The sequence below is a fragment of the Homo sapiens genome, chromosome 1 (assembly GCF_000001405.40).
Source record: "Homo sapiens chromosome 1, GRCh38.p14 Primary Assembly".
Taxonomy (NCBI): domain Eukaryota; kingdom Metazoa; phylum Chordata; class Mammalia; order Primates; family Hominidae; genus Homo; species Homo sapiens.
The window spans coordinates 58,745,990-58,758,001 of record NC_000001.11 but is presented as its reverse complement, the minus strand read 5'-3'; the positions used below and the strand labels follow the sequence as shown (position 1 = coordinate 58,758,001).

Genomic DNA, 12,012 nt, shown 5'->3' with positions numbered 1-12,012 from the left:
ATAGTGTTTTTGTGTAATTATCAAGGTAGAAATTCAAACCATAGTAGAACAGAAACAATCCCATTCGTCACATCTGACCACGAAGGGATTCATCAGTTGCTTAGTGGGAGAAGAATAGGAAATTCATACCAGAATCCTATTTCACAGTTTATAATTGGTTATATAAAATTAGGCCTAAGCTAACTGCATAACAAAACATACCAGGAGGGGAAATGAAATGGCATCAAGAATGAAAAGGATGCTGACAAAGGGACTTCAATTCCATCTCGTCCTCTAGCTGTGTATCCTTGAATGGCCTTGCTAAACCTTCCTTCTTCATCTATAAAATGGACATCAGAAATCCTATTTATGGTGTTTTTCTGTGAAAAAAAATAAGATGGCATATGTTAAGCAGTTAGTGCTCAACAAATAGTAACTGTATTACATCCCCAGAATTATTATTATTATACTATACACATATATATAGGGCAGGAACAGGGTCAACACTATGAGCCTCCTCCACAGGACTGAGCAGAGAGCAGATCCTCACTGACTACTGCATTGGGACAGACACCACAGCCTTGCTGCGACACAGGTGGAGCATGGTTTTGCAGTCTTGCCAAGTTCAGGACCCTGTACCAGCACTGACTCCCACTTAGGGAACCTCTCAGGATCTTTGTTTCTTCATTTGGGGACAATTTTGGTGATGCAAGCTATAAGGGTTAAATTAAATTAAATCATATTTGGGAAAACACTCTTTGAACTATAAAGCTGTCAGCTTCAGCCCTGCCTTCCCCAGTTTGCAGAACCCACTTATTGAGGCATAGTTCATATCAAAGTTACCTCTTTCATCACCTCAGCCCATCCATCTAGGGGCTTCAAAAATGTTCTCAGACCTGGAATCTTAACTGGGGCCAAACAGTACACAGCCTAGTGCATAATACCAAGATCAAACTGACTGGGACAACTATGGGAAACTCTAGGACATCCCCTAAACTGTCAGCATATCCCACACACATGTTTTCCTTGCCTTCACTGCCAACCAGACCAGGAGCCAATATCCCAGGACCAATCATAGCACCATTTATGGAATGTGTTCTGTGTTCTGAGCCTTATGCTGAGTATTGTACTTGCAATGTTTCAATTAATCCTCACACTAGATCTAAGATAAGTAATCTTATCTCCTTTTTACAGATAGGAAAACTGAGGCTTAAGGAAGGTTAGGACAAAAGTTAAGGAACTAATGGTTCATAAATGATGGGCCAGAGTTTCTATTCCAAGTTTATTTGACTATGATCTTGGGTATTATGATGCCTCTGTAAGAATTATTTTGCAGATGAGTCCCATGAAGGAAACTGACCTACCTGCAATCACATAGCTAGTAAGCACCAAAACTGGGATTATAATCTATGTCTCTTCAAGTCCAAAGACATGCTCTCCCTGTGATACTGTGCTACCTTCCCCAATCCCGTAAGACTAGTTTCTGCCCAAGCGTCCCTTCCCTGAGCTCAGAGCCTGCTGTTGTCCCTAGCCTATTGTTGAATGGCCTGGATCCATGCCTAGCTCTTCTTAGTTTCTTTCCCTGGAATCTGGGTTCCAGATTTTGTCCTTGCTGATGGGACACCTGCTGAGGAAGGACAGATCTTCCCAAAAGATGACAGATCCCTACTTGGTTCCAGAGAATGCAAACAAGAGTTCTCACTTCAGACACATCTACCTTTGAGAATGAGCACCAGACTAACCCATTCCCTTGTTTTCTGTGTTGGATCTGTTAAGCTGCCATGCTCCAAAATGCTGAGTGGGGTCAAGAGGTTGTTCTCCAGCCTGCCTTCTTGCAATTTCATCCTCTTGCTAATTCAGGCATGTTAGAGACCCATAATTCTCATACTCAGGCCTGACCGATAACAAATATCAGCCGTTATTTTTTTTTATGCTTCTTCATTTCCAATTGTAAAAGTTGTATGCTCATTGTTTTATTTCCCATTGCTACGACAAACCCTTCCTCTCTATAGCAGTGCTACAGGAGCATAAAGGGAGCAGAGTTGCAGATGGCATATTGTAACTGGCCTTAAGTACAAATTAAAAATCCACCTACATGGTCAAGGGATGCTACAACCAGATCAATTTGCAGATAAAGGTGCTCATTCAAGCTGAAGGATTTAACAGAAAAAAAGCAGACTAAGAAACAGAATATTTAAACACTTCAAGTCATTTGCTTGGAAAGACTTTCTGCATCTTGTTGGAGGAGCGAGTCATCTTCCTGTGTGAAGTGTTCAAAGCTCACTTCCGGTGAGTAATGAGAGGGGCATTCAGGTCTGGATGCAGCCACTGTGCACGTGGTGAAGTCCACGGCACTACGGCTTCCTCTTCAGAAAGCAGAGGTGCTGCCTCTTAGGCTCCATAATTCTGGGCTCTTCTCCAGGCCACAAAACAACCAAAGTTTCTAAGGGCATATGCTGATGGCATCTGCCAGCTCTCTATCCAGTGCAACTATGGCTGTCTGTGACTCACAGTAAGCTCCACCGGAAGCCTTTTCCATGTGTTTCTGTGCAGGCTCTGTTGGCTGAAATTCGTGCCAGTCCCGAGAAAGGTCTGTGGTTCTGGCAGGCAGCAATCATGTGTTGGAGAGCTGCAAGGACCCAGTCTTAGTTCAGGCTGTAGCTGCAGAAAGGGTAAAAACACAAGCCAGCACACACTGATGTGTATAGTGAATGGGCCTGGACTACCTCAGTAGGCTGGAAAATACATAACAGTAGGTCTGGGGGAGAATGTACATCACATACACAGAAGGCTACTCATTGTCTAAGCCAACAATGGAATTTCAAAAAAGATAGAGAAGACCCCATTTCTCTGAAGCAACAAATCGTGCAGGACAGTAAGAGACTTGTGTTAGAAACTCCCATCCTACCTCTTATCTGGGTTAACCATAAGCCTTCAAATGACCCCACAGAAGCAGCCTGCAAGGGAGATGGTGGAGATGTTATCACTTCTACTTTTCACACGAGGAAACTGAGCTTCCGGGAGGTTAAGTTGCCATAGATCACACTGATAGTCAGCGGCCCCAGAGGATTTGAACCCACATCTGTCAGACTCAAAAGCCACCCTCCTACCTGCTTCAAAATTCATCTTGTTCCGATAAATTGTTATTCAAAGTCACCTGTGTTCAATGCTGGAGCCAAACACCCTTTTGGGGTACTGAATAAAAGAAAGAAAAGGAGAGAGGAAAGGAGTCCTAGCTTTGCTGCTTTTAAACAATGTGGCCTTAAGCAAGTCACTAATAACCTCTCCAGCCTGAATGTTTAATTCTGGGATCACTTTGACAAGTTTATCAGGGGAGATTCTCTTGTGCTATTTCCTTTATTGACCCTGAAAAAGTATAGTTTTCTCACTCAGTCATTATTCATTGATTCCTTCACTCTGTAAACATCTACAGACTACTCAGCGGCAGGCACTAAGGCAGAAGGATAAATAAGACATGGTCCCTGCCATCAAAGTAGTCATGGTCTGATGGGAAGAAAGGCCTACAAAAACAGTCACGTGGCAGTGCACAGGACACAGTGCTCACCCTCCATAAGCACAGACCTTTCTGCTGGTGCAGACCCGGAGCCAGCTTCTCAGCATGCACAGCAGAATGTGCACTACAGCAGCACCCTGCCCTAGGACCATGGGAGCACAGGAGAAGGGGCAATTAACACTCAGTTTTTCATCTTTGAACCACAGTCACTCTCTGAAATTACATCTTAGGGCCTTAGGGCTATTTTCACTGCATGGCACTGTTGGGTGACTCATCATAAATTTAGAGCTGGAGAAGAATGCTGAGATTATTATAATGCAATCCCTCATGTTATAGGTGGGAAAACAGGCCTAAAGAGGTAAGGTCACAGGTAGGAAGAAGTAGAAACTGCTTCTGCACCCAGATCTCTTGACTTCCATGTCTTGCTAATTTTCAGCAGTTATGAGATACCCAAATCTTTTTCCTGTTTTGATTCTCCCTACCTCCTTTCATACTATACAGTTTCATTCAACTAGGTGTAATAATGGAAGACAAGGACTCTGAATAAATATGAAACTTCTCCGTGGGACACTTGAAATTAAAAAAACATCATTTTTTTGGACTCATTTGCAGAAATCTCCAGTGAATGGACCTTGACCTAGCTGAGGTACTTAAGTCCTAGCTAACGTTAAAATCTGCTGCAGATGAATCTCTTTTGTAAAATGTAGTATATGGAAAAAGTCTCGATCTTGGATTTAGGAGGCCTGGATTCAAATATCAGCTTTGCCAATAGGTTGCCTTCAGTTCTTAGGCAAGTTCTTCCCTTCTGAGGACCTCAGTCAGTCCCCTCAACATCAAAGGAGAAGACCAAATCCAATAGAAGCTCCATGAAAACAGGGACTTTGTCCACTGCTCTCTCCCCAGTGCCTTGAGCCACACATAGCACACAGTAGGAACTCAACACATGAAAATGTCTCCAAAGACACTAACGTTCAGAAAATAGGAGTCCATGAAATCATTTCCAAAACTTAGAGTTCATGTCTGTTCGTGTTTTTCCCCTCCCTTTTGTTCAAGGGATGAATGCCTCCCCACCTCCCCCGTCTCTTAGCAACAGCGTGGAAGAGTTGACTGTTCTGAAGCAGTTCTCAAATTGTGTGACCTGGCAGCTGTGCATTACTCTGTGTACTCTAATATTATCGTTTCGGCATCACTCCCCCTCTGCTGTCACTTCTCGGGCCCTTTGCTCAGAACCACCCGCTCAGCTCCTCTGCTCACTTGTTGCTGAAAACACACCCTGATTCCACCTACCTTCACCAAGCTCGCCTGTGCTACTATGCAAGACAATAGAAGACTGGACACCTTCAAGCACAGTAATGTATTTTAACAGGAGTACAAGTGTGTAGTGAGGAGGGGTAGATGTTTTGCAATACTTGGCAAACACCAAATTTGAAACCTGTAAACATTTCCCAAGGTCTTCCATGGGTCACTTTATTGTGCAGTGGATTAAGCAAAAATTTTTTAAAACAAAGAACAGTTACTACCATTTATTGAGCCCTTGCTATGTGTAAGGTAGTTTCACACACTCTTCCCTGCTTAATCTTCTCAACAACACTGTGAGCACCCACTTTTACAGAGAAGGGAATTGAGGCTTAGAAACATTGATTAGCTTCTTCAGGTCACAAAACCAGTAACAGCTGCCAATACTGGATCTGGCTCTTCTATCTGATTGCAACATCCCATGTTTTAAAATTTAGATGAATCTAGGCCACGTGTGATGACTCATGCCAGTAATCCCAGCACTTTGGGAGGCCAAGGTGGGTGGATCACATGAGGTCAGGAGTTCGAGACCAGCCTGGCCAACATGGTGAAACCCCATCTCTACTAAAAATACAAAGAAATTAGCCAAGCGTTGGTGCACGCCTGTAATCCCAGCTACTAGGAAGGCTGAGGCATGAGAATCACTTGAACTTTGGAGGCAGAGGTTGCAGTGAGCCAAGATTGTGCACTGCAGTCCAGTCTGGGTAGCAGAGTGAGACTCTGCCTCAAAATAAAAATAAAAATTAGAAGAATCTGGAAAGTTAAAAGTCCGCTAAGAACAACCTAGTGAAAAGGAAACAGAATGGCAGCTACAGACCATCCAGTTCTTTTTCTCCACCCACTTTATTTCCTCTCCTAAAACTGAAAGAACTTGTTTTCTGTGACTCCAGTATATAGAGCTGACACTAACATTTGGGAGTTATGAGGAGATACTTAGCAATTATTAGGTTGAAGAGAGTTCTGTCAGAACGGACCTTTCAGCTCATTCAATTTAGCCCTGATTTTTTTTTTTTTTTTTTTTTTTTGAGACGGAGTCTCACTCTGTTGCCCAGGCCGGAGTGCAGTGGCACAATCTCATCTCACTGCAATCTCTGTCTCCTGGGTCAGGCGATTCTTCTGCCCCAGCCTCCCAAGTAGCTGGGATTACAGGCACATGCCACTATGCCCGGCTAATTTTTGTATTCTTAGTAGAGACGGGGTTCCACCATGTTGGCCAGGTTGGTCTCCAACTCCTGACCACGTGATCCACCCACCTTGGCCTCCCAAAGTGCTGGGATTACAGGCATGAGCCACCATGCCCAGCCTAGCCCTGATATTTTATAGATGGTAAACTTTATATATTTGGGTGAACTTAAGAAGGTCACCCAAGGTCACCCATCTAATTAGTAAGTACTAGGCCCAGCCTTGTCTGGTACCAAATCCTATGCTCTTCATCTGCAAAGAAGGGGCAATAACACTTGTCTATAAAGCTGTGGCTGTGAGGATTGTTTTCAAAGTATTCAGCTAGGTCAGTACCTGACATATGGTTGGCCCTGCAGAGGGTAGATGCTGCTGACCCTAAATATCAGTCTCTTTATTTGTAAATGGGGTGGGCAAGGGCCCTTGCCTCATATATTTGTTAAAAAAATTAAATGAGCTCTTGAATGTGCAGAGCTCTGTAGCATTTGCTTCTCAAACACTACCTATCATCTTTTGGAGCTGTTAGGTATGGCATTTCAGGTGTTCCTGGGTGACCTCCCAAGTGGACAATATTAGAGTGAAGTTAATGGCATCTGATCCTGGCCTTTCCTCATTATAAATGATTATAAAGCAGAAGAAAAGGAAAACACAGAAAAAAAATTAGAAACTTACAACTCCGTAGATGTTTTACCTTCATATCCTTCTTCTCTTCTTGGTATTGCTTGGGCCTCACTGAAGCCATGGGTCCCCTCCTTATTGCAGAGAAGGCTGTTGATTGGAAGGGCACAGAGAGACTGGCTCTGGCTGTACTAGGCTTGATCTGGAGTCTGGTGCTGCCAGGAAAAGGGCTCATAATTCAGGAGGGATCTGCATGCATGTATGTCATGAGATGAGAGAACTGTGGGTTCTGCCCAATGTGCTGTGAAGATAGATTGGACATCTGGCAGTGAAGACCAACTCTAGTCGGGGCCATCCCATTCTTGGTTCACCAAAGTGTCTTTGTTAGGGGACTCGATCACTCCCTGGCTGTACTTCTCTAAAGGCTGTCTCTTCAGGGTGAAAATAACCTTTGCTCTCTTTACCTTGCTTCTTCCAGACTCCAAGTATTCAACACGGTTTTTAAAGGCTGCACCATCAGGAGGATTGAGTGGGAGGTGAGGAAGTAGAGACAGGTTGTGTAGACAAATACTGCAAGGAGTTTGGCTGTGAAAAAATTGAGGGAGAAAGAATGGGACAGTGGGGGAAGAGTTGATTTTTTTTGAAGGTGGTGTTCTAAGTTAGAAAAGACCAGAGCCTATTTAAATGCTTTTGAGGAGAAGCAAGCCAAGTGGAAAAGGTTGAAGGGATAGGAGCTTAATTGATAGCACAAGGTCCCTGAGAAAGCAGAAGGGGAGGGGTCCAGACCTCAGGGGCTGCCATTGGCCTTGAGCAGGAGGACAAGACCGGGGGTACACAAGGAGCAAAGGTGAGAGCACAGTTTATCCAAGTCCCAAAGTTTGTCATGGTCTTTCTTCCCTCTTTGCCCAGCTGTGGCCACATGCCAGTGCGGTTCTCGATGCTCCACGCACATGAATTAACACCCTCACCACAATCCTGCTACAGAGGCATTTTAACCATCATTTTCTAGATGTTCAAACCAAATCTCAGAGAACATATGAAATTGCCTATGGTTACACAACTGGTATTATTAATAAAAATAGTGCTGACATTAATACAGCCCTAACTATGTGTCAGACTTTATTCTAAGTACTTTATATTCATGATTCTGTTTAACCCTATGAGGCAGGTACAATTATGATTCTGATTTTACAGATTATTTGCCCAAGGTCCAACAACTTCAAAATGGAGCCAACACTCAAGCCCAGGCCGTCTGGTTCCCAGGACAGTATTCTTAACCATCATGCCATGTCATCTTTTGTTGTAGGAAACAAGGTAATGGAGATTAAGTTCAAACTCTCATTTGTCTGACTCCAAATGATGCCATACTTTGCTAATTGCATCAAGAGATGAGGATGGATAAAGGTAAATTCACCTTTAGAATTGAATATTCTATACCAAGATCCAGTTGGGATGTCTGAGGACAAGTAAGAGAAACTCAAATACCTCCTCAATAGACTCCCTCCAATGACTCATTGCCCCAAACTGGGTAACCAGGCTCTCCACTTCTCTAACCAGCTGGGGTGCCTCTTTGGTGAGAATTTTCAAGGGAATGAGTTGACAGTGGTTTAACAATCAACAGTGCCTGCTGGATTCACACAGGGCAGTAAGTGCTTTACCCAAGTCTTCATTGATTCATTTGTTCATTCGGTAAATCATTTCCTGACCACCAGTTCTGCCTGGTACAGTGTCAGCAGTAGACATGTAAGTCAGGCACACAGTTCTTACTTCTTAAGCAGCTTACAGACTGATGCTTGGTGTAGATATGTAAGCAGACAAGTCCATTGTAATGCACGGCCACTTCCTATAGTGAGGTGTGTCCAAAGGGTGACAAAAACAGAAAGGGGGTGCCAGTGCCTGTCTAGGGGAGGGACTAAGAAGAAGACTTCTTTTAAGAAAAGAAGTTTGCCAGAGGAACAAGGGAAATGAAAAGGGCATGTGACTCAGGCAGAGGGGGCAACATAAGCAAAGTCAGGGGAGCATGGGCAAGTATGGCAAGTTCGGCTGCAGCAGAAATGCCAGGTTTGAGGGGTGGGAGATGAAGCTGGAGAGGTAGGCAGAGGCAGATCATGTTATCACAGGTGCTGGATGCCACATGTAGGAATTTAATCTCTAATCTTTGCCACCACCCTGCGAAGCTGTTCTATTACTCGTTCCAATTTACAAATAAGAAAACGGAGGTTCAGAAGAACTAATGGGCTCCCTATTCACAGCTGATAAGAAACAGGGCCAGAATTTGAACCCAGGCTGGCCTGATGCCAGAGCCTACCCTCTTTCCACTACATCATAATGACTGCCTTTGGTTCTGCCTCCAAAGTGATAGCACCCTATTACATAACCAAACAAATAAAAAGCCTTTTTTTATGGTGACAGTGGCAATGTCATTCGAGGAACTAAGATTTGTTCCTTTTACAAATGAGACTGGGGCACATTTTTCCCTCTGCTCATTATAAAGGCCTGCTTCCTACCAGAATGAATAATGAGGTTGTAGCTGTCTGCATTCAGCCATAGGAAGACGCATAATTGTATTTCTTCCATGATGGAAGAACCAGCTGTGGTGCTAATAAAAATGACTGCTTTTCAATTCTTTCAGCAGAGTAAATAAAACTCCCTTGTGATTAACGGCAAATTGGTTTCCTACAGAGTTGTCAAATCTGAAGGGGTGGGACAAGGGGGGTCAGGGAGAAGATGGGAGTGACAGCATGGTTAGTGGTTCTACTCCAGCAGTGTTCTTTCTCCAAGTATGTGTTCCAGAGACACCTTGAATAGAATACATCTTTTCTTTCTCTTTCTTTTTTTTTTAGAGACAAGGTCTTGCTCCGTTGCCCAGGCTGGAGTGCAGTTGTGTGATCATAGCTCACTGCACCCTCCAACTTTTGGGCTCAAGCAATATTCCTGCCTCAGCAGGAGTAACTGGGACTACAGGCACCCACCACCATACCCAGCTAGTTTATTTTTATTTATTCATTTATTTTTTTTTTTTTGAGACAGAGTCTTGCTCTTGTTGCCCAGGGTAGAGTGCAATGGCACAATCTCGGGTCACTGCAAGCTCCGCCTCCCTTCCACCTCCCGGGTTCAAGTGATTCTCCTGCCTCAGCCTCCCGAGTAGCTGGGATTACAGGCATGCACCACCACACCAGGCTAATTTTGTATTTTTAGTAGAGATGGGGTTTCTCCATGTTGGTCAGGCTGGTCTCGAACTCCCGACCTCAGGTGATCCACCTGCCTCTGCCTCCCAAAGTGCTGGGATTACAGGTGGCTCACACCTCCCCCAGCAAAAGCCTCTAGCCCCTGGGCTCCCCAGGCGGCTCCCCTTCCAAGCTCCCACTGGGCCCGACCCTGTTTAGCTTCCTGGACTGGGCCCAGGCGCCCTCAGGCTGCTATGGTGCCAGGGGCTAGTTTATTTGTGTAGAGACGGGGCTCACTCTATTTCCCAGGCTGTTCTCCGACTCTTGGCCTCAAGTGATCCTCCTGCCTCAGCCTCCCATAGTGTTTGGATTATATGGGTGAGCCACTTTGCCCAACCCACTCTTGGCCTCAAGTGATCCTCCTCCCTCAGCCTCCCATAGTGTTTGGATTATACGGGTGAGCCACTTTGCCCAACCCAAGAAAGATATTTTCAACTTCTTTCAGAAAATTGCCAATTCTACCAAAATAACACTTCAGTATCCTGGCATGGGGACAAAATAAAAAAGGGAGCTCACTTGTTAACAACCAGAGTTCCTAAGACTTACAGGTTTGGGATATCAACTCTTTCTCCATCCAGGTATTCATTCATTTATTCTACAAATATTTTAAAGGCTTACTAGTGATCTGTTCATTAATTGACTATTACTGAGTGTCTACTGTATTCCAGGGCTGGGCTTTGGGAATAAATGGTGAAAAAGACCCAATTCCTGCCCTCATGGTGCACACAGTCTAATGAATAGATAGATCTGTTAGTAGTTTTTTATGATTCTTTTTCTTTTTATAATTTTCTTGTAAACACAGTGTCTTGCTATGTTGCCCAGGCTGGTCTCTGATTCCTGGCCTCAAGTAATCCTCCTACCTCAGACTGCTAGGATTACAGGTGTGAGCTACTGTGCCTGGCCATGATTCTTGTGATAAGATCTATGTCCTGGAAATAAAGGTAGTGTATTTTAATAGCTTTTTCATTCTCTTGGCAAATGGGATAGAAAAACTATTTTGCCCTCACTTTTAGGTTAAAGAGTTACAAACCAAGGTCAATGAAAGATCAATCAGAAATGAAGATGATGTAGCTTTGAAATGTTAACAGAAGACTATATGATTCTGGTTGCAAAATATTGGTGGATCAGACAGGGTCCTGATAGGAAACCTATGGAACACCCATATTAGGATAATTCTAAGAAAGTTTATTACAAAGGGAGTGTTTACAAGGATGTGGGTGGGATGCAGGTGACTCATAAGGGCTGTGCAGGAACCCAGGGCTAGCAGCAGTGGTGCTAACATTCAAAAGAATTACAGAGGGAATTGGCTATGGGAACCTAGAAGGGAAGAGTAGTGTCGAGAAGATCAGCATAAGAGGAAGAGTGACTGACAGTTGACGGTCACAGCCAGACCAGCATGACCATACAAAGAAGATGTCAGGGGAATCAAACCCTGCCTTCACTCACCTGCCTCCCAAATTTTTTCCATCTTGGAGGTCAGGGAAGGCTTCCTACAGGAGATGGCACCTGAGCCGGCTCTTGACAGATGAATGGGAGTTCGTTAGGTGATGAAGAAAGTGAAAAAAAGTTCCAGGCAGAAAAAAAAAAAAATAGGCCAAAGTAAGAAGGTGAGAGGTTCAGAGGCAGACTGAAAATAAATCCTAAAGGACTTATATGTCATGCTTAAAAGTTTGGTCTTTGTACCCAGGGCACTGGGGAGCCATTGCATAGGTGACTGCCATGATCATATTTGCATCTCTTATAGAAGACCCCTTTCTCTGTTGCATAGAGGATGAATTACAGAGAGGTGGATAGTGGACAAGAAGAGACAGGCTGATGCAACAAGCAGCAGATAAAGGGTGAGAGCCTGGGCCAGGATCATTCTGGTGGACATGGAGAGAAGGGGGAGGTTTCGAGGTACACTTAGGAAGTAGCAATCATAGCTGAATGAATGGAAAAAGAGTCCACTGGGGAGGGAGGCATCTAGGCTGATTCTCAGGATTCTGGCTAGAGTGTCAGTGGATGACAGTATTTTCCAGGACTAAAAACAAAACAAGAGCAATAGGTTTGGAGAAGGAAAAGAGATGTCTTTGGTCTAAGGCATATTGAGTTTCATATGCCTGCAGAAACTCTAGGTGGAGTTGTCTAGTGTTACTTGGTTACGACTCTCAAGTTCAGCAGAGGGAGAAAGAGCCAGGCTAAGAGAGAGATGTGGGACAC

General features: G+C 44.1%; 1 long non-coding RNA gene across 1 annotated transcript in view, besides 2 other annotated features; it reads right to left on the bottom strand.

Annotated features, from left to right (window-relative positions):
• The window catches only part of LOC112268263 (uncharacterized), a 47,142-nt gene that overhangs the window by 2,196 nt on the left and 32,934 nt on the right, over nucleotides 1–12,012 (bottom strand). Inside the window, exons 6-7 of the long non-coding RNA XR_007066129.1 lie at nucleotides 6,660–7,171; nucleotides 202–359 (exon numbers count right to left, since the gene is read on the bottom strand). This is a non-coding gene — a long non-coding RNA (uncharacterized LOC112268263). The remainder of the gene's footprint in view (nucleotides 1–201; nucleotides 360–6,659; nucleotides 7,172–12,012) is intronic.
• Nucleotides 1,801–3,000: an enhancer, noted in NCBI's record as "MED14-independent group 3 enhancer chr1:59220674-59221873 (GRCh37/hg19 assembly coordinates)". NCBI's record gives its function as "activates an origin of replication core promoter dependent on BRD2, BRD4, P300/CBP and CDK7 cofactors, and independent of MED14, by STARR-seq in HCT116 cells {active_cell/tissue: HCT116}" and the evidence as "EXISTENCE:reporter gene assay evidence [ECO:0000049][PMID:35650434]".
• Nucleotides 8,421–8,631: a silencer, noted in NCBI's record as "fragment chr1:59215043-59215253 (GRCh37/hg19 assembly coordinates)". NCBI's record gives its function as "represses an EF-1alpha promoter that drives an FKBP-Casp9 reporter gene in an ReSE screen in phorbol 12-myristate 13-acetate-treated (for megakaryocytic differentiation) K562 erythroleukemia cells {active_cell/tissue: K562(+PMA)}" and the evidence as "EXISTENCE:reporter gene assay evidence [ECO:0000049][PMID:32094911]".